The sequence below is a fragment of the Homo sapiens genome, chromosome 5 (assembly GCF_000001405.40).
Source record: "Homo sapiens chromosome 5, GRCh38.p14 Primary Assembly".
NCBI lineage: Eukaryota > Metazoa > Chordata > Mammalia > Primates > Hominidae > Homo > Homo sapiens.
In genome coordinates this window covers 14,007,682-14,028,483 of record NC_000005.10, presented here as the reverse complement: position 1 = coordinate 14,028,483, position 20,802 = coordinate 14,007,682, and the positions used below count along the sequence as shown (strand labels likewise).

General features: G+C 41.8%; 1 protein-coding gene across 9 annotated transcripts in view, besides 1 other annotated feature; it reads left to right on the top strand.

The window, feature by feature from the left end:
• Positions 16,521–16,970: a silencer, noted in NCBI's record as "silent region_15932". NCBI's record gives its function as "represses an Ori minimal core promoter by ATAC-STARR-seq in GM12878 lymphoblastoid cells {active_cell/tissue: GM12878}" and the evidence as "EXISTENCE:reporter gene assay evidence [ECO:0000049][PMID:35858748]".
• DNAH5 (dynein axonemal heavy chain 5) overlaps positions 16,666–20,802 on the top strand; it is a 321,491-nt gene continuing 317,354 nt past the window's right edge. For all 9 annotated transcript variants that reach the window (XR_001742034.2, XR_001742035.2, XM_017009177.2 and 6 more), the window contains exon 1: positions 16,666–16,836. Coding sequence is in view for 7 of the 9 variants with exons in the window: in XM_017009177.2 (XP_016864666.1) it covers positions 16,672–16,836 (165 nt within the window). In the remaining 2 variants the exon portion in view is untranslated. The remainder of the gene's footprint in view (positions 16,837–20,802) is intronic.

Sequence of the window (20,802 nt, the reverse complement as noted above, 5' to 3'; positions counted from 1 at the left end):
GAGAATCCACATAAACTGAATCATACAATATGTGGTATTTTGTGACTGGCTTCTTTCACTCAGCATTGTATTTTTAAAGTTCATCCATGTTGTAGTATGTATCAGTACTTCATTCCTTTTTGTTGCCAAGTAATATTCCATCGCATGAACAAATCATTTTTTGTTTCTCCATTCATCAGTTGGGTTGATAACATGGTATTTCCATACAGTGGAATATTATTCAGCAATTTAGATTATATTTCCACATTTTGCCTTATGAATAATGCTGCTATAAACACTACATCCAAGTTTTTGTTTGAACATATTATTTTAATTTCTCTTGGGTCTATACTTAAAAGAGTAGAATAGCTAGGTCACATGATAACTCTATGTTTAGCATTTTGGGGAACTACTAGACTGCTTGCCAAAGTTGATGTACACATTTTACATTTCCACCGGCAATGAATGAGGGTTCTAATTTCTCTACATCCTTACCCACACTTGTTGTCTGTCTTTTATTTCAGCCGTCCTAGTGGGTGTAAAGTGTTGTCTCCTCGTGGTTCTGATTTGCATTTCACTAATGACTAATGATGTTGAGCATCTTTTCGTGCCTCCTCTCCTCTCTCTTTACCTTCCCTCCTCCTATACAGGTTTCTGGAGAAACTTCAATGTACATAGCATGGGGACAAAATCATGTCCTCCATGATTTTCCAATGTTGTCTCATTATTGGCAGCATAAAAACAGACTAATACATTCTCCTTCTAGTGACTTCAAGGTCTGGAAAAGGACAGGTCCTGCAGCGGGGCTCCACAGGCAGGGGGTGTAGCAGGCTAAATGTAAAAAGGAGGTGAGATGTCCAGAAAGGAGAGATGGTAACTGGGCAATCCAACAACAGCAAGGGTTGGCTATGGCTTTCCTAGTTGGCTAATGACCATAATACTTGACTTGAATGGGGAAGGGTCTTGGAAAGTACCCCTAGAATGAGTGGGGAGAGGCTAATGAACTTCCCACACTTTATACTCTTAAACTCTGCCAAAAGGAGGAAAGAATGTGGAGAGGATGAGTCTCTCACAAAACTGATTGATATATTGTTGAATGGTAATGTCATCTGCCATTAACTTCTTGCTGCAGAATGACCAAAGTGACAACATTGTGGGTGCTATTTGTTGTTTGTAATTGGGCTTAGCATTCATATATGATCTTCCATCTATCACAGTTCTTGCACTTGATCAACCATCTGTGCTTCCCAGAGTTTTAAATCACATCTTGTTAAAATATGCACACGCAAAGTAGCTCGAACATTAACCCTCTTCACGGCATCCCCTATTGTGGTACAGCTCTAAGCAAACTGAAATAATGCTACATTACACTGAGAACACAGTACCTTCTCGTACATCCTAGTACCTTCTGCCCGTGGAGTCTGGAAAACAGATATTGCCACGTATTAAGGGACACGTGTCATTTGACATTAACAAAGATATTAATAAAATTGTTATTGGTGGCTAGGCATGATGGCTCATGCCTGTAATCCCAGCACTTTGGGAGGCCAAGGTGGGCAGATAACTTGAGGTCAGGAGTTTGAGACCAGCCTGGCCAATGTAGTGAAACCCCATCTCTACTAAAAATACAAAAATTAGTGGGGCGTGGTGGCCGGTGCCTGTAATCCCAGCTACTCAGGAGGCTGAGGCAGGAGAATTGCTTGAAACTGAGAGGCAGAGGTTGCAGTGAGCCAAGATCACGCCACTCCACTCTAGCCTGGGCGACAGAGTGAAATTCTGTCTCAAAAAAAAAAAAAAAAAAAGTTACTGGTGTACACAGAATCAAGTTTCTTAGAACCAAAAACTCTTTAAAAATCCATTTAATGAAGACTAGTTTTGAAAAGAGTAATATCATCACTGTGTTTTCATAATGAATGTTCAAGTGGAGGATCCACTGTTTAACCTGAACCAAGTCAATGAATTTTCCAGGAGTTTGACTCTCATTTCTGGTTATTCATGTTGTAAAATGTACGTATCCACCCTTGCAATGATTTAGAGGAAAATCAATGAACATTTCTAAAAAGAGCACATCATGCTTGATTGCTGGCAATGAATTTTCCCAAACATTGGTGCCACTCGATAAATGATAGTTTGGAGAAAATTTAGACGGGGCTATCTTATGATATCAAAGAATAAAAATCAAATAGATAAGAATAAATAAAACAGAAAGGAAAATATTTCTTTAGTCACTCTTTTTCAAATACTACCAAGAAAAGATGCCATTAGGGTGAAACTGGGGTGGAGTTGAATGTGTTATGTTGAGTTTGCCAGGCCCGTTCCTCCTTCTAGCTGCTTAACCTGAAAATGCAATCTGCATGATTCAGCCTCCTGGCAGAACAGATAAGGTCTTCCTGCTTGAATTTCACCTTCTCAAAACTGTCCTAAAGGCAAGCTAGGGCTTACCTGGCCTGGTCAACTATGGGGGGGCATCCCACTTTCACTCCTGTCAAACTGCTAGGGAGAGGGCAGGGCAATTCAGATAAGGAAAACTGAAAGGGATTTTCAAATATTTACACACACACACATGCTGCATGCACACACACACACATATCTGCATCTCTTACTAATTCAGACAAATGAGTGAACTTCAGATTTTTTTTTAAGTACAGTGTTTATTACTTTTAAATATACGCAGCAATTAGGCCTAGGATAGCAAAGCATTGCCAGCAGGAGTCCTCAGGGAATCAGATTTGATGACTGCGTAAGAATGCTTTCCAATTAACTTATTAATGATTTATGAATACATGGTTCTCTGGAGTGCCTACAAATATTTAAAAAATGTAATTACTTATAGGAAGATTCAACAGGCTAAATTTTTTTCCTTCAAACAAATTTTGAATACACGATCCATTTACTTAGCAAACTCCTTCTTTACACATAGCAAAAAGACACATTGGAGACCAATTCTTATTTTTGTTATCAAAAACATCCAGTTTTGAGGAGTCTAAATTATGAGACTTTGTGCATCTAGAATCTTAAGGTAGTCTATTCACAAGTTTACCTAAAAACAGGGGATTTGTAGGGTCACCCCAGCAGGAAACGGTTTCCCAAAGATCTTGTTACACCATTTTTGCCCTGGTGAGAAAAACCTGAGAGAATGAACAATGATTATCGCACTAATAGTAATGGCAAGTGATATAAGTTGAGATTCATTTAAATTTTAAAAATCACATTAAATAAATATTAATTTTATTTAAGTCTTCATATATCTTAAATCTCATCTAACTTTGTAATTCAATTACTTAAAAAAATGTTTCTGGCTGGGCGCAGTGGCTCACCCTGTAATCCCAGCACTTTGGGAGGCTGAGGTTGGCAGATCACCTGAGATTAGGAGTTCGAGACCAGCCTGACCAACGTGGTGAAACCCCGTCTTTACTAAAACCACAAAAATTAGCCGGGCTTGGTGGTGGATGCCTGTAATCTCAGCTATTTGGGAGGCTGAGGCAGGAGAATCACTTGAACCTGGGAGGCAGAGGTTACAGTGAGCCAAAATCGTGTTACATTGTACTCTACCCTGGGCAACAGAGCGAGACTCTGTCTCAAAAAAACAAAAGTTTCTATCCAGACTGACCTTGATGATCTTAATCTAAGGGTAGTATGTATAAAAATATGTGGTGATGGCACTTTAATTGTTTGATGGATCCAATAAGGAACTGGTTTGAGAGAAATCTGAAGCTCTAGTATGTTTGACCATTAAAGAGAATGGTCATATTTATCGAACTAAAAGTTTCTTTACTTGTTTAAGGAATCTAGTGGGCTCTACAAATGTTCTTTGTTGAGAGTAAAAGGCTTTAAGGAGTATAGATTCCAAAGAGAAAGCATCCCTATTATAGCAACTCTGGAGAAAGGTTTCACAATTTGCCCAGGAAAAAATCTAATGATAACAAAAAAGTACTGAAGAGACTAAACAATTGTACAGTGGGAAGTAGGTCTTCTTCAGTGTTAGGGCCACTCAAAGATCCCCTTGGTCAGGAGTTCCTTGAGTTCCTGTCATATTCTCTTCTTCTGTGCACCCAGAAAACTTTGTACATACCTCCTCTAAATGCATATAGTGTTGTACTCTTTCTTTGGCATTTATAGATCTTACTCTCCCTTTGGCCAGGGAGATCCATAAGGGCAAGGAGGGTGTCTCATTCATCTTTTTTCCCTAATATAGTGTCTGGCATTGTTTGATTGATGAATGAATGAATAAAGAAAGTAATGAAAAATTATGGCATGAGATGGAGGCTGAAAGAGTGGGAAGAAAGGTTCGGCATTCTTGAAATTGTCCCTTTCAGCTTGTAGAAGACACTTGCTAGGAGATGAAATAGGTTCCCCCAAATTTCTCTGTTGAAGTCATACCCCCAACATGACTGTGTTTAAAGATAGGGCTTCTAGGAAGTAATTCAGGTGAAGTGAGGTCATAAGCATGGGGCCCTCATCTGATAGGACTGGCGGCATTTTAAGAAGAGGAAGAAACAGAGAGAGAGATCGATCCCTCTACATGCACATTTACTGAGGAAAGGCCAAGTGAAGATACGGTGAGGAGGTGGCCGTCTGCAAGGCAGGAAGTGAGCCCTCAACAGAAAGTTTTCATGCTGGCATCCTGATCTTGGACTTCCAGCCTGAAAAGCTATGAGAAAATAAATGTCTGTTGTTGAAGCCACCCAGTCTATGGTATTTTGTTATAGCAGCTTGAGCAGACCAAGACAGCACCTTATTCCATGCCCTTCCTTCTCTGATAGCTTCTTCCCTCTCACAGGGATGGATTCCTTGGTCCTGCTGGCTTCACTGGTCAGGGCTGATTGGACCAAGGTGAACAGCAGCCCTAAGATTCCCTCCAAGAATTGGGGTTAAGACACACTTGCCAGTCTGTCTCTTGTGGGTGTTTGAACTAAGGATTTTAAAACTTGGATGTCATGGGGTAGCAAGCTTCTGCTGTGTGCATGTCGAAGCCAAGGTCTGCAGGGAGAGTTATGCAGAGAGAAGCAGAGATTAGGAGGGGGTCATACTGGGGCCACTGACAGGTGCTGCTGGCTGGATGCTTCTGGCTGGCCATGCTATTCCTCCCACCCTTACTTGTGATTCTTCCTACATCTTCCCTGTACCTCATTCTCTTTCCTTCCGACAATTTGAATGAGTTTCTGTTACTTTTCATCAAAGCAGCTTGACAAAGATGAGGCGTTTTGAAATTCACTTTCCCTTTCTGGCTTGTGTTCTCAGAAAGGAGACTATAGATTAGGAAGCATGTAGAGGCATGTGACAAGGCCTCCTCTTCATTGGCAGGAAACATTTTTCAAGTGCCCAATTTTAGGAATTCTCTGGCATATTTTCTTTCTGATATTCCTCCCCCAGTGTAATCCTGTGATAGAGTGTAATTCTATGGTTATTTTTGTCAATTGGTGGTAGATCGTATATATAATGTTTTCCAAATTCAAAATGGCAACTGAGAAAGAAAACTGTCCCAAACAAGGTCTGCTATAGAAATTTTTTGCCACAATTTATAACTCCTTTTGGGAAGAAATTAGCGTTTCTGAGCAGTAGTCTGACACACTTGAAGAAGGTTAAATAATCCATTTGGAAAGTTATCTACCTACCCACCCAACTGACCATCTGCCTTTTGAGAAGTCTGATGTCACCAGGCATAGTTGATACCGTATCATAACAAAGTATCATTAAAAAATTTTAAAGCATGATTCTCATATAAATATACAACAGGATATGTCAATGCTTTTTCAACTCATTAACGAGAGATCCATCTGGCTTAAGAATTAGAGGACATTCTGAAGTATTTATTATCAGTGAAGAGTGTAAAGATAGCTATCAAACTGGTTAATGTCCCCCATGACAATAAAATAGTAACTCTTTTGATTATCATATATGCACACATACATACATACATATACATATATGTATATGTATATATGTATGTGTATATATGTATATATGTATGTATGTGTGTATATATGTATGTATGTATATGTGTATATATATATATAACGTGTATATATTTTGAGATGAGATCTCACCATATATATTGCCTAGGTGGGCCTTGAACTCCTGGGGTCAGATGATCTTCCCACCTCAGCCTCCTGAGTCAATACAGGCACAGAGTACCACATCCATGATTATCTTTGCGCCCAGACAGACATCATTTTCATGTTTACTGAACAGAAATCTATGAGTTACCCTATAACTTCACAGAGTCTGTGACCTAGTCAGTGATAAATACTCATTCAAAGGTACATTCCCCTAAAGAATTAAATCATCTTTGGATGGGATAATTAATAATGCTCCACTCTAAGACTCAAAAGTCACAAAAGCTTCCTTTTTCTTATTTCCAAGTTTGGAAAATGTTTCTTTAGTTGTTTCTTTTTTTTTCTCTTTTCTTTTTTTCTAAGACGTCTAACAAAAGGGACATCTTTGAATTGGTTGCTTCTTCTCTGTGGAGAATTCAGAATAAAACTTTGACACGTTTTTTTCAATTGGCTGAGAAATTGCTTTAACACTTCAATATTAAAAAGTATTAGTAAGGTCATCCAAGTGCCAGAAAGCAGCCATTTCTTGGACAGATTATTTTTCACCATTATTTGTTTCCAACCATTTAAAAATGAATTGGCTACATTCCGATATAGGTGGAAAATATTGTTTTGATAAAACAGCAAATCCACTTTATGAAGCTTTATTATTATTATTGTTTTTATGTATTTATTTTTAGGCAGGGTCTTGCTCTGTTGCCCAGGCTGGAGGGGAAGGATGTGATCATGGCTCACTGTAGCCTCGACCTCTTGGGCTCAAGTGATCCTCCCACCTCAGGCTCCCAGGTAGCTAAGACCACAGGCATGAAACACTACACCTGGCTAAAAACAGACACTTCTCAAAAGAAGACATTTATGCAGCCAAAACACACATGAAAAAATGCTCATCATCACTGGCCATCAGAGAAATGCAAATCAAAACCACAATGAGATACCATCTCACACCAGTTAGAATGGTGATCATTAAAAAGTCAGGAAACAACAGGTGCTGGAGAGGATGTGGAGAAATAGGAACACTTTTACACTGTTGGTGGGACTCTAAACTAGTTCAACCATTGTGGAAGTCAGTGTGGCGATTCCTCAGCGATCTAGAACTAGAAATACCATTTGACCCAGCCGTCCCATTACTGGGTATATACCCAAAGGATTACAAATCATGCTGCTATAAAGACACATGCACACATATGTTTATTGCGGCACTATTCACAATAGCAAAGACTTGGAACCAACCCAAATGTCCAACAATGATAGACTGGATTAAGAAAATGTGGCACATATACACCATGGAATACTATGCAGCCATAAAAAGTGATGAGTTCATGTCCTTTGTAGGCACATGGATGAAGCTGGAAACTATCATTCTCAGCAAACTATTGCAAGGACAAAAAACCAAACACCGCATGTTCTCACTCATAGGTGGGAATTGAACAATGAGAACACATGGACACAGGAAGGGGATCATCACACACCGGGGACTGTTGTGGGGTGGGGGGAGGGGGGAGGGATAGCATTAGGAGATATACCTAATGCTAAATGATGAGTTAATGGGTGCAGCACACCAACATGGCGCATGTATACATATGTAACTAACCTGCATGTTGTGCACATGTACCCTAAAACTTAAAGTATAATAATAAAAGAAATTTTTTTTTTGTAGAGACAAGGTCTTACTATGTTGCCCAGGCTGGTCTTGAACTCCTGGGCTCAGGCAATCTTCCCATTTTGGTTTCAAAAAGTGCTGGGATTACGGGTGTGAGCCACCCCACCCACCCAGCTTTATTATTTTTAGTAGAACACTGCACCTTGGCAGAAGTAAATGCAATTTTATTATATGTATTACATGGTTAGCATTTAGTGTAATTGTAAACCCAAAACTGCTTGTTGAATTTTACTATTAGATATTGAGGTCCAGACACTATTTTTGTTGGTAGTATTTTCTCCATTTTAGATAGAAATATTTTGTTAAGCCATGATTCTACAAATATAAGGTCCAGTGGAAAAGCCTTTGGGTTTTCTTTTTGGTAGGGTCCTTTTTAGCTTAATCCTTCTGTGGCAGTTTTATATTTTCTCAGATGGATAAAAAAAGGATTCATCTTCTGTGCTTAGCTTTCTATGTCATAAGATTTTATTTTTTTCTGGGGTCTAAGTTTTAATTATAGAAGCATTTTTATTAATAATATTTTGCAAATAACAGCACTTTAAAATATATCTCTGTTTGTTTTGTAGCAGAATGCTGTCAGCAAGTAGTCATTGTCTAAAGGCTTTAAGATAAAAACTGAATCTCTCTGAAGAAGCAGCAATATTGCCTGTGGGCTGCAGCTTCAGCTCCTGCACAAGTTTCCAGCCTGCTCTACAGATTTCCAACTTGCCAACCCACACAATTGTGTAAGCCAATTCCTTGAAATAGATCTCCTCACATATAAAATATATACAGTTTGCATATATGGGTGTGTGTGTGTGTGTGTGTGTGTATGTGTGTGTGTGTGTGTGTGTGTGCATGCCCACATACATGTATGCATACATATACATCTTACTGAATCTGTTTCTCTGGCCGAACCCTAAATAATAATACACCTTTGTGACTGGTAAACAAGGCTAGGAACTAGGAAACCACCTTCCTCCTTCCTACAAAGAGACTCCCTTTGAAGAGCTTAACTTTTAAAATTTGCTCCCCAGTTGTGAGAAGGTTATGTATACTATGCTACCTTACATCTCTCCTTCTCTATTTTCATAATTCATTTTGTTAATTAGCATTCCCAAACTTTTATAAAGTACATTACACAAATACTGCCAAACAGTCTTGTAGTATCAAATGTGTGGGTGTATCCATCAGGATTCTTCTTTTTTTAAAAATTAAATTTTATTTTATTTTCAGTTCCGGGATACAGGTGCAGAATGTGCAGGTTTGTTACATAGGTAAGCGTGTGCCATGGTGGTTTGCTGCACCCATCAACCCATCACATATAGCACATTAAGCCCCACATACGTTAGCCATTTATCCTGATGCTCTCCCTCCCTGCCCCCTAACAGGCTCGGGTGTGTGTTGTTCCCCTCCCTGTTTCCATGTGTTCTCATTGTTCAGCTCCCAGTTATGAGAGAACATCCAGTGTTTGATTCTCTGTTCCTGTGTTAGTTTGCTGAGAATGATGGTTTCCAGCTTCATCCATGTCCTTGCAAAGAACATGATCTCAAAAGTTCCTTAAGCTGAAGTTCCTTCAGCAAAGTCTCAGGATACAAAATCAATGTGCAAAAATCAGAAGCATTCCTACACACCAATAATAGACAAGCAGAGAGCCAAATCATGAATGAACTCCCATTCACGATTGCTACAAAGAAAATTAAAAATACCTAGGAATACAGCTAACAAGGGATGTGAAGGACCTCTTCAAGGAGAACTACAAACCACTGCTCAAGGAAATAAGAGAGGACAGAAATAAATGGAAAAACATTCCATCCTTTTAGATAGGAAGAATCAGTATAATGAAAATGGCCATACTGCCCGAAGTAATTTATGGATTCAATACTATTCCCATCAAACTACCATTGACATTCTTTACAGAATTAGAAAAAAACAAATTTAAAATTCATATGGAACCAAAAAAAAGAGCCTGTATAGCCAAGACAATCCTAAGCAAAAAGAACAGAGCTGGAGGCATCACACTACCTGACTTCAAACTATACTACAAGGCTACAGTAAGCAAAACAGCATGGTACTGGTACCAAAATAGACACATATACCAATGGAACAGAATAGAGATCTCAGAAATAAGACCACATATCTACAACCATCTGATCTTCTACAAACCTGACAAAAACAAGCAATAGGGAAAGAATTTCCTATTTAATGAGTGGTACTGGGAAAGCTGACTAGCCATATGCAGAAAACTGAAACTGGACCTCTTCCTGACACCTTATACAAATATTAACTCAAGATGGAGTAAAGACTTAAATGTAAAACCCCAAACCATAAAAACCCTAGAAGAAAATCTAAGTAATACCATTCAGTACATAGGCATGGACAAAGATTTTACAATGAAATTGCCAAAAGCAAATGCATCAGGATTCTTAATTGCAAACAATAGAGATTGACCATCACTGATTGAAGCAAAAAAAAAAAAAAAAAGAATTTATTAAAAGGATATCAGGCAGCTCAGAATAGTTGATAACGTTGAATGGCGAGGCTTGGAAAACGGCCAGGTGGATATGTCATTTGCACCCAAGAGCACAGTCAAACATCCTGCCATGAAACCAGTGTGCTGAGGACATTGCTACAAGCCATACTGGCTCCTGGACACGTGACTTAGAGGCTACTGCTGCCCAAGCTGCCCTTGCAAACTCAATGCCGCTGTTGCTACTGCCACCTCTGTTGGAATATACTCTCTACTGTCGCGTGTTTTGGGTTAACCAGCTCCTGATTCAAGTCCAAGGTGGGTGCATTTGATTAGTCACGTCTGGGTCACATGATGATGCCCTAGTTGTAAGTGTGCCTGTGAAAGCACTTGGTACTTTTAGTTTCTATGGGGGATAGAGGGCTCTGCTTGGGAGGAAATTCTCCAAGTACAGGAAGGCGATTTGGATGGCAGTCAGCTAAAGAGGACAAATATCCACTACTGTGCCTTTTGGTACCACTCGTCTGTGGAAGGCAGCATGGCAGTAGCAGCCTAGATGCCATGGCACACATCATGGAGTTCTTAGCTGTTATCAGCATGAAAGCAGGACTGGGAGAGACCGGGAGGAGCAGACTGAGCCGCCAAGTGGCTAAAGGGACCTGAAGATGCTACCCATGGGCTTGTGGACCACAATGACCAGCAGGAAAACGGTGCCTGCAAGGAGTGAGTGCTGTCCATCGTCAGCCACAGATCCTTAAAGGAGCATCTATGAATGAGGAGGGGAGCCTGCCTGCAGCCCTACTCATCACCATCAGGCAAAAGCATCCCAAGGGGGGCCAACGCCTGGGCATCTGCTCATACAGCACTGACACCTGCCTGTGCCTGGAGACTTTGGAAGCTCATCTGATTGACATGGGGTGGACATTCCTGATTCAACATCCAAGGACACTTGTAAGCCATCTTATCCCCTACCTCCAAAGCAGAGAGTGGGATGCTGGACACCCAGGTTGCTGGGGGCAGTCATGGAGGGGAACAGATGCCACTCACCAAGCATCTGTCCTTGGGTGGACCTGAGCCAAACCAATTTGAGATTTCATTCACTGATTGTTTAACTCATGCCACCCCTCCTCCAGTAAGGTTGGGATGGTGGTGAAATGAACCTCTGCTTATACAACTTAAAAGTCTTAGATTTGTAAAATAAAATCGACCCACAAAAATATCTGAGAATAGTTGATAGTTGCTGTATTGATTAGGAATGCTTTTAGTTTTGGGCAAGAGAAAACACAATTGACAATGCTTTAAATAGACAGGGGTTCAGTTTCCCCATGTAACAAGTGGGTTTGGGAGAGGCACCTGTTATTGTTGGTTCAGAGATTCAGAGATGTCAAGGCTATCATTTCTGTAATTTGAATGGTTATGCCCTCATGGTTATAATACGGCTGACTGCAACAGTTCCAGGCATCAGGGCCAAGTTCCAGCTGGAAGAAGGTGTGAAAGAGACAGCTGGGTCTGCCTCTTTCATCAGGAAAGCAAAAGGATTCCCAGGCGCCCTAGTAGACTGTCATTTAAGCCAGAATCATGTCATAGCACCACCCATAGCTATGAAGGTGGCCGGGAAATATTGACAGTTTCCTGTTGCTCTGCTAGAGGCAGGCAAAGACATTGAAACAGGGATGGATGAGCCAACAAACAGTGACTTCTGCCACTGCCAAGTTTATCACGTGAATTAATATTGATTTTTGAACTGATTAATTCCTTCATTGTATGTTGACACTTGCTAGCCCACAGTTTATGACAGGCAACAAAAGTTTTCCCCCAAAATTATGAAAGTAAAGCTGTCAATAAAATTTTATTTAGTAAACTCTGTCTCTCTTCTGCAAAATAGAAAGAGGTTACTATTATATGACTGTAATAATGGGCAAAAATGATGACTTGCATGGAGCGCTAGTGAGCTGAGAGAGCACTGTAAAGCTCTGTAATCCTGAAAATCAGACCTAGAGAATGAAAGGTATGATTTTTAAGCATTAAAGTGTATTAAAACACAACACAAAAAGAAAACTTGGTTTCTAGTCCTGTTTCAGTCAATAAATAGCTATGTGACCTCCAGTGAGTCAGTCCTTGTTTTCTTTTTAATAAAATGATCATCTCTTTTTCTTTTCTTTTTTTTTTTTTTTTTTTTTTTTTTGAGATGGAGTCCTGCTCTATCACTCAGGCTGGAGTGCAATGGCACGATCTCAGCTCACTGCAACCTCCACCTCCTGGGTTCAAGCAATTCTCCTGCCTCAGTCTCCTGAGTAGCTGGGATTACAGGCATGCGCCACCACACCTGACTAATTTTTGTGTTAGTAGAGACATGGTTTCCCCATGTTGGCCAGGCTGGTTTCGAACTTCTGACCTCGTGGTCCACCTGCCTCAGCCTCCCAAAGTGCTGGGATTACAGGCATGAGCCACTGCACCCGGCCGCATAAAGTTATAGTCTTTTCTATAAAATAAAACATAATCTCAATTGGTTATTCTTAGATCTGAAATTTTGTACTTCTCTGTGATTAGTCTTCATGTCTATGTGGGTGGACAAGAAAGAAATCATTATGTGTCCAATTATTTAGTCTTCTAAAATTCAAGAGTTGTTTCTGAGCACCTACTGTGTGCTAGGCAATGAAGGCACCAAGGATAAATCTCATGTTAAAAGACCAGTTGAGTGGAGGTTTTAGATTGAGGCTTACTTTAAAATTTTCTCAGGAGGCTGGGCATGGTGGCTCAGGCCTGTAATCCCAGCACTTTGGGAGGCCAAGGTGGGTAGATCACTTGAGGTGAGGAGTTCAAGACCAGCCTGGCCAACATGGTGAAACCCTGTCTCCACTAAAAATACAAAAATTAGCCAGGTATGGTGGCACATGCCTGTAGTCCCAGCTACTCGGGAGGCTGAGACAGGAGAATCGTTTGAACTCAGGAGGCAGAGGTTGCAGTGAACTGAGATTGCACCACTGTACTCCAGCCTGGGCGACACAGCAAGATTCCATTTAAAAAAAATTGTTTTTAGGAAAAGAAATAAATGGAATTATTTCCTGAGGCAGTTTAATCTAATTCCTTCAATGGTAGGATCATTTCCGGCCATGGTCTGGACAGGCAAGATCAAAGGAGCCTGCAAGCTCCTTCACCTCCAGCATCTTCCCCACCAGCCAGTCATCTCACTCAAGGTTCCCATCACTGAGCTGGTTCCATCTCCAGAAGGTCAAGTTTACGAGTATAGCTGTAGGAAGGGTGTGAGAGCCACCTGAGCCAGCTATCTTGTTCTGACCAACAATTTCTCACAGCAGAAATTAATCTATAATATTAGCAGGAAAGCCACAAGGGGTTCCTATGGGGGGTAGTGCCCGGGGGAGGGAGTTGTTCAGTATTAATGGTAGACCAGGATGGCTGGGGAAGCTCTGAAACCCAGGCCAGACCCAAGGAATTCCACTCTAGCTTGGGGATCCTAAACAGCATACATCTTTCTGGGAGCAAAGGACTTTCAGCAGGAAGGGAACATCAAAGATAAAAGTGTGTAGGTCACATTTTGCCTAAAAAGGCACAGATCAGGGAACTATAAGATTGTATTAGCCCAGCTTTACCCCCGGTCTCTTTCTGAAATCAGAAAGACTCGTGTCAGCACAGAAGTGCCCAACACAGAAGCTTCCCTGAAGATGCCCCTCCCTCGACGCCTGCCCCACCGCCCACCTTCCATACTGTCTGTCATCTCAATAGAGTCCAGAGGCACGAGGTGGAACCAGGGCTCCCAGCTCCTTCTACTCTTCTACTTATGTAGCCTCGGGGAGGCCACTTCATCTTTCTCTGTGTCTCATCTGTAATAGGTAGGGGCACTGATGATAATGGCCAAGTTTAGAGGATGTTTTAAGATAAAATGAGTTAATACATAAAATTACCTAGACAAGTATTAGCTTGCATGTCCCCTTCTTAGACCTGCCCTCTATGGACAGACTTTTCCCTTGAAGCTGCATATTTTGACCAAGCAGAGTTTTTACCTCTGTTAAAACAAACACTGTTTTCTTGAGGGCCTGGTTCTAAAACCTTCTAAGGCGATTATGAGGGTTACACTGAATTCTGATGATATTCTAGTGAGGGAGGCAGGACAATGACACTGTGCATTCCCTGACAGCAGCAAGGAGCCCAGCGACCTTGAGTCCCAGGCTGGCTTCCTCTTCAGGCTAACAAGAGAGGTACCACGGGGCAAAGATACCCTTTGCAGGCAAAGTTACACAAACTGTCTACAAAAGCAGACGACTGGAATGTCATTTCTACTTTTCTCAGTTTCTGAAAAGTGTTTTTGCCACTTAAGGATGTTTCTCCCTCTGGTGGGAATGGGAACACTTGTTCAAGAGTTAATTAGGGCCCAGCACAGTTGCTCACACCTGTAATCCCAGCACTTTGGGAGGCGGAGGGATCACCTGAGGTCAGGAGTTCAAGACCAGCCTGGCCAACACGGCAAAAACCCGTCTCTACTAAAAATACAAAAATTAGCCGGGTGCTGTGGCGTGCGCCTGTAATCCCAGCTACTTCGGAGACTGAAGCAGGAGAATCACTTGAATACGGGAGGTGAAGGTGGCAGTAAGCCAAGAGGGTGCCACTGCACTCCAGCCTGGGTGACAGAGCAAGACTCTGTCTCAATTTAAAAAAAAAAATAAAAGGCCAGGCACAGTGGCTCACGCCTGTAATCCCAGCACTTTGGGAGGTGGAGGAGGGCGGATCAACTGACGTCAGGAGTTCGAGACCAGCCTGGCCAACATGGTGAAAACCCATCTCTACTAAAAATACAAAAAAATTAGCTGGGTGTGGTGGCAGGTGCCTGTAATCTCAGCTACTTGGGAGGCTGAGGCAGGAGAATTGCTTGAACCTGGAGGCAGAGGTTGCAGTGAGCCAAGACTTGGCCATTGCACTCCAGCCCGGGCAACAAGAGCTAAACTCCGTCTAAAAAAAAAAAAAAGTTAATCAGGTTTTAGCAGGCCTGACAAGGAGACGAAATCCTCCCCGCCTCATGGAGATCTGGGGCTGGTCTTCCTAGAGTTCATAGTCTAGTGCAGGGGCTCCCAACCCAGGTCTGTGGTCTGTTAAGGAACCAGACCTCATCGTAGGAGGTGAGAGGCAGATAAGCCAATGAAGCTTCATCTGTATTTACAGGTGCTCCCCATCGCTCACATTACTGCCTGAGCTCCACCTCCTGTCAGATCAGCCAGGGCATAAGAGTCTTATAGGAACACCAATGCTATTGTGAACCGCCCATGGGAGAGATCTAGGTTGCACACTCCTAGGAGAATCTTAATGCCTGATGATTGGTCACTGTCTCCCATCACCCCCAGATGGGACCATCTAGTTGCAGGAAAACAAGATCAGGACTCCCACTGATTCTACATTACGGTGAGTTGTATAATTATTTCATTATATATTACAATACAATAATAATAGAAATAAAGTGCACAATAAATGTAATGTGCTTGAATCATCCGGAAACCACCCCCTGCCCCACCTGTGGAAAAACTGTCTTTCACGAAACCAATCCCTGGTGCCAAAAAGTTTGGAAAGCACTGGCCTAGCGGATCTGCTGTGACCAATATAGTAGCCACCAGTCACACTGGCCATTGAGCACTTGAAATGTGGCTAGTCCAAATTGAGATGTGCTGTACGTGTAAAATACACATCAGATTTCGAGGACTAGTACGATAAAAGAATGTAAACTGTCTCATGAATAATTTTTATATTGGTAGCATATTGAAATAATATTTTGGCTGAAACATAGTAATGACTTCATTAATGAATGAAGAAACTGAAACATACTATTAAAATTAATTTCACCTGCTTCTTTTACTTTTTAAAATGTGGCTCCTAAAAACATAAACTTTCACATGTGTCAGGCATTATATTTCTATTGGACAGTGCTGGCCCAGATGAGAAAGATTTTGCAGATACGAAATATTTCTATTCAAATTTTTTTGGAAAGTGCTTTAAGGCAAATTTACTTGGAATTCATACATGCCAATGAGGTATTATTCTGATGGGTGTACAGTGTTTAGAAAGTTATCTTTATTACCTATAGATTAAAACTCAAAGTTAAACGTTTCTATGGAGGTCTTAGCTGGAGAAATAGCTGTGAAGGTACCAGACACGGAAGCTATGAGAAGAATCTAAAACTTACAGTCTAAGACTAATAATCAAGACTGTGCGAATTAATGTTGAAATCTTCTAAATTTCATTTTGAATTATTTTTTCCTCCTAAAGCTAGAAACACTCAAAATTCCACATTCAAACAAATGCTAAACAATCAGGGGAGAGCTAAGAGAAACCTAATGGAAAATAGTCAAGAAACGGCATCTGGGGCCCAGTGGCAGGCCGGAAGCTCTGGGCTTCCCCAGAACCGGAGCCGGCCCCGAGCATGCAAGTAGCTCGGGAGCCGGAGCCCTGGAAGCGCCGAGCCGAGCCGCGCCGCGCCGCGCTGGGGGCGGTGGCCAGGCCCAGGCGGAGCATTGCCCGTCGCCATGGCAACGGCAGGAGCAGCAAACAGCCGGCTAGCCGGGCGGCCTGAGCGGACTCCGGAGAGCAGACGAGGGCAGGGCGCGGCGGCTGCGGCGGGGTCCTCCCTGCACCGGGGGAGCGCTACGAGTCCCAGCGGAGCGCCGCAGCACAGCGCCATGGACAAACTGGTACTGTGCGCGCTCGGGCCACGCGGCTCCCACGCCCAGCCAGGGCCGCCGCGGCGCATGCGCGGCCGAGCGGCCCGGGGTTCCCTGGCTCGCGGGGTTGGCGGCAGAGACCAGGGAGGGGCTCGGCTTGTGGTCCGGGGTTTTCAGAGTTTGGGGGCCAAAAGCACTTTCTTGACCTTTTAGGGCTGGGATTGCTGTTTCTGGAATTTCGCACGTTTTTTTCCTCAGGGGGTAGTTGTCAATCACGCCTACCAGGGCACCCCGAAATGCAAAACGCACTAAGTTCAGGGACTTCCTCCTCTTCCTCTTGCTGCTGAAAAGGCCATTGGTTGTCTGCGACGTGGACCCAATCCACCCATTGTCCCATAGCGAGCATCAGAGATATCCAGGTGTGGCGAAGGTCGCTTTTGTGTCTGTCGTTCGTTGGCTGTTACCAGCTCTCATTAGCCCTTGGGTTTGGACAGAAGCGAATGTTTAGTTCCCCTGGAGAGAGGGAGGGGTATGGTGTGCAGAGAAAGCCCCGCTGGGTGGGTTCTTTCTGTCTCTTACATTTGCCTCGGTGCGCATCGGAGCAGGTGCAGCTGGAAACACACGCTATACATTTACATCAACTTTCATTTCATTAGTCTGGCTCTTTTTTTTTTTTTAAGTGAATATTGTGGATTGAAGAATAATCCAAGTTCAGTACTTGTTTTTGCATTTATTTTCAAGGACGATTGCATTCATATATATTTTCATCAGGTACACTATAGTCATATAACTGTAGGGATCTATTATGCTAATCGATAAAATATGCACTTTGTCATGATTTTAAAGATATAAATTTATACTTGTTGAATTAAGAGCAATGTATCTAGATTATGCAAATAATACTTCAGCGTTTTCCTCCTCTCTGTAGATATTTACGTTGCTCAAAATTGGCTTTTATTTTTGTGTGTATCCTTTTATGGTAGACACATATTAATATTCTCATTTTCATATAATTTATGTCATAAATACTTGGAATTTTCACTATATTTTGTGTTTATTGAAGACATACTCGTTAGCTCTTTTTAGTATTTCAAGTGACTGTTCTCATTTTCTGTCAAAGAAAATGGGACCCTGAAATGACAGGTGACATTGTTACTTCTAATACCAATAAACCAATGACTTTTTTCTATGTCTTAATTTTAAATCCATATATAATACAATCTTACATAAATTTACCAAGTTTTCCCCTTTAAGGATATAAAGCATGGCTATTAGCTTTCATCTGGGTTGTTATATTTTATTAATTATGCTTGCTTTCAGGTTTCAGCGCTATGCTCTTTGCCTCTAATTTTCTCTTGGTCTGTTCGAGTTGAACTTAAAGAATTTGAAAATTATCAAATATCTCTTATTTAACTTCCATAGTAAACTAGGAAATTACATTGACATACCTCTTTTCATCTATGAAATTTGCAAAGACCTCTCCCCTCCCTCCAAGTGTTACTAGAAAACATTTAATAACATGGGAAAATGTTTACAATTAATGAGTGAAAAAAGTAAATCATTGAAGCAATAGGTTCCAATTTTATGAAAATAAAAACGGTATATAAATATCTATAGAAAGCAGAATAAAAGGACATACACCAAAATATTGATACTGATTATCTCTGGCTAGTGGAATTAAAGAGGATTTTAATTTTCTTTATTTTTAACATTTCTATAATGAATATACAGATTTTATACATACATAATTTATAGTTAGAAAAAATTATGAAGAATAGTGACCTCAAAAATGTTTGCACAACATTCTTCTCCTAAGACACACTGAGCATCCTTTGGTAAATATTTTCGGTTTTCTGTTCACTCAGGCACATCTTTGTAAACACTGTTTTACAACTCTTGCTCTCCCCAGCTGAGTAAGCAATCCCCATTTTACTTAAGCTGGAAGTATGGTGGAAGGTGGTAAATGAGCATATGCAGATCAAAGTGAAGACCAGCAATCGTGAAACAAACCTATGGCCCAGTCCTCCTCTGTTTCCTGTACTGCATGATTTTCTTAACCCTCATATTGGCAGGTTAGTGCCACTAGTCCAAGATTGATTTGGAAAGGATTTTGGTAGCCCTAATAATTGATTATGCATTCTGCAAATATGGATTTTTGTGGTTATATTATTTAGAAAAGATAGAAGCAAATAGACACTCAAGCAAATAGAAGGTGTAGAAATTGTTGCATCCCTGAAATGTCACTTTCACAGAATGTTCAATTCTCGCAGGAAGGCAGGGTCCCTTGTGTTTGTTTTCCCCAGGTGCCTGGTGATGGTGTGACCAAGGCTTGCCTCAGTATTGGGAAAAGGATACAGTGAGCATGGCTATTTGGAGGAATTGGTTCCTGCTGCATAAGAAATGCTAGGAGGAAGTTTACCTGTTACATTTTCTCCTTTAGTCACGCTAAGCTCTTTCCTGGCACTCACCAGAGCGGCTGTTTATTTATACCTCTGTTCTGTTTGCATTTGGCTTTGCTTCTTATGGCCTTTCTTTTAACAAACAGACAAAAAAAGAGTTGAGCAACTGCTCACTCATTACTTTGTTTATGAATAAAAACCGACGGCTTCAACTCAAGAGTGAGTTACCTACCAGGGATATTTGTATTTCCCAGAATGTTGAGTTACAGTCCTGCCAGGAAACCAGCTTCGAGACAGGACATGGATCAGTTTGTCCTGTCCTTGCAGGGGCAGGCCCGGCCCATGGCCAGGCCCGATGCATGGGGTGAAGGGCATAGAACTGGTGGAATGAACGCTTTCTTTTTCTGTTTACCTCTCTCTAGAGAAAATGCTTAGGAAGTGAGGCTGGAGTTGAGAAAATGGTATTACAGATACCTGGGCAGTTCAGTTCAATTCCATAAATACTTATTAAGTACCTACTATGTTTAAAGTACTGTGGAAAGGTTCTGGGGAATATGACCTTTCCTTTCTTCTTTTCTTCCTCCATTTTTCCTTCCCTCTCCACCTTTGCCCTCCCTCTTTTGTTTTTGTTTTTCTTTTTTTTTTGAGACAGAGTCTCGCTCTGTTGCCCAGGCTGGAGTGCAGTAGTGCAATCTGCAACCTCCATCTCCAAGGGTTCAAGCAATTCTCGATTCTTCTGTGATTCTCATACCACAGCTTCCTGAGTAGCTGGGATCACAGGCACCTGCTACCAAGCCCTGCTACTTTTTTGTATTTTTAGTAGAGATGGGGTTTCACCATGTTGCCCAGGCTGGTCTCAAACTCCTGGGCTCAAGTAACCCACCCGCCTCGGCCTCCCAAAGTGCTGGAATTACCAGGCATGAGCCACCGCACCTGGCCACCCTCCCTCTTTCTTTCTTCATTCCTGTCTTCTTCCCTCTCTCCCTCATTTCTTCCTCTTTCCCTCTCCCTCATCCTCTTTTTCCTTCTTTCCTTCCTTCTAAAATACATACTGCATGCTTTCTTTTCTTTTCTTTTTTCTTTCTTTCTTTCTTTTTTTTTTTTTCTAAGACGGATTCTCGCTCTATCGCCCAGGCTGGAATGCAATGGCGCGATCTCGGCTCACTGCAACCTCTGCCTCCTGGGTTCAAGTGATTTTCCTGTCTCAGCCTCCCAAGTAGTTGGGATTATAGGCATGTGCCATTACACCTGCTAATTTTTGTATTTTTAGTAGAGACGGGTTTTTGCCCTGTTGGCCAGGCTGGTCTCGAACTCCTCACCTCAGGTGATCCGCTCACCTCGGCCTCCCAAAGTGCTGGGATTACAGGCATGAGCCCCTGCACCTGGCCTACATACTGCATGCTTTCTGACAGACCTTTTTTTCAAATTCCCCTTTAGGACGCTGGAGCTCTCCTAACATTCATTACACAATTAATGATGCTTCCCCTCTTTTTTTGTGAGGACCAAATGAGATGAACAAATTGTGACCGCTGTCCACTGTTTTTGGGTAACTTACAGCAAGATCAGTGGCCTGCCTTCCAGGAGATGGAGTCAGTGT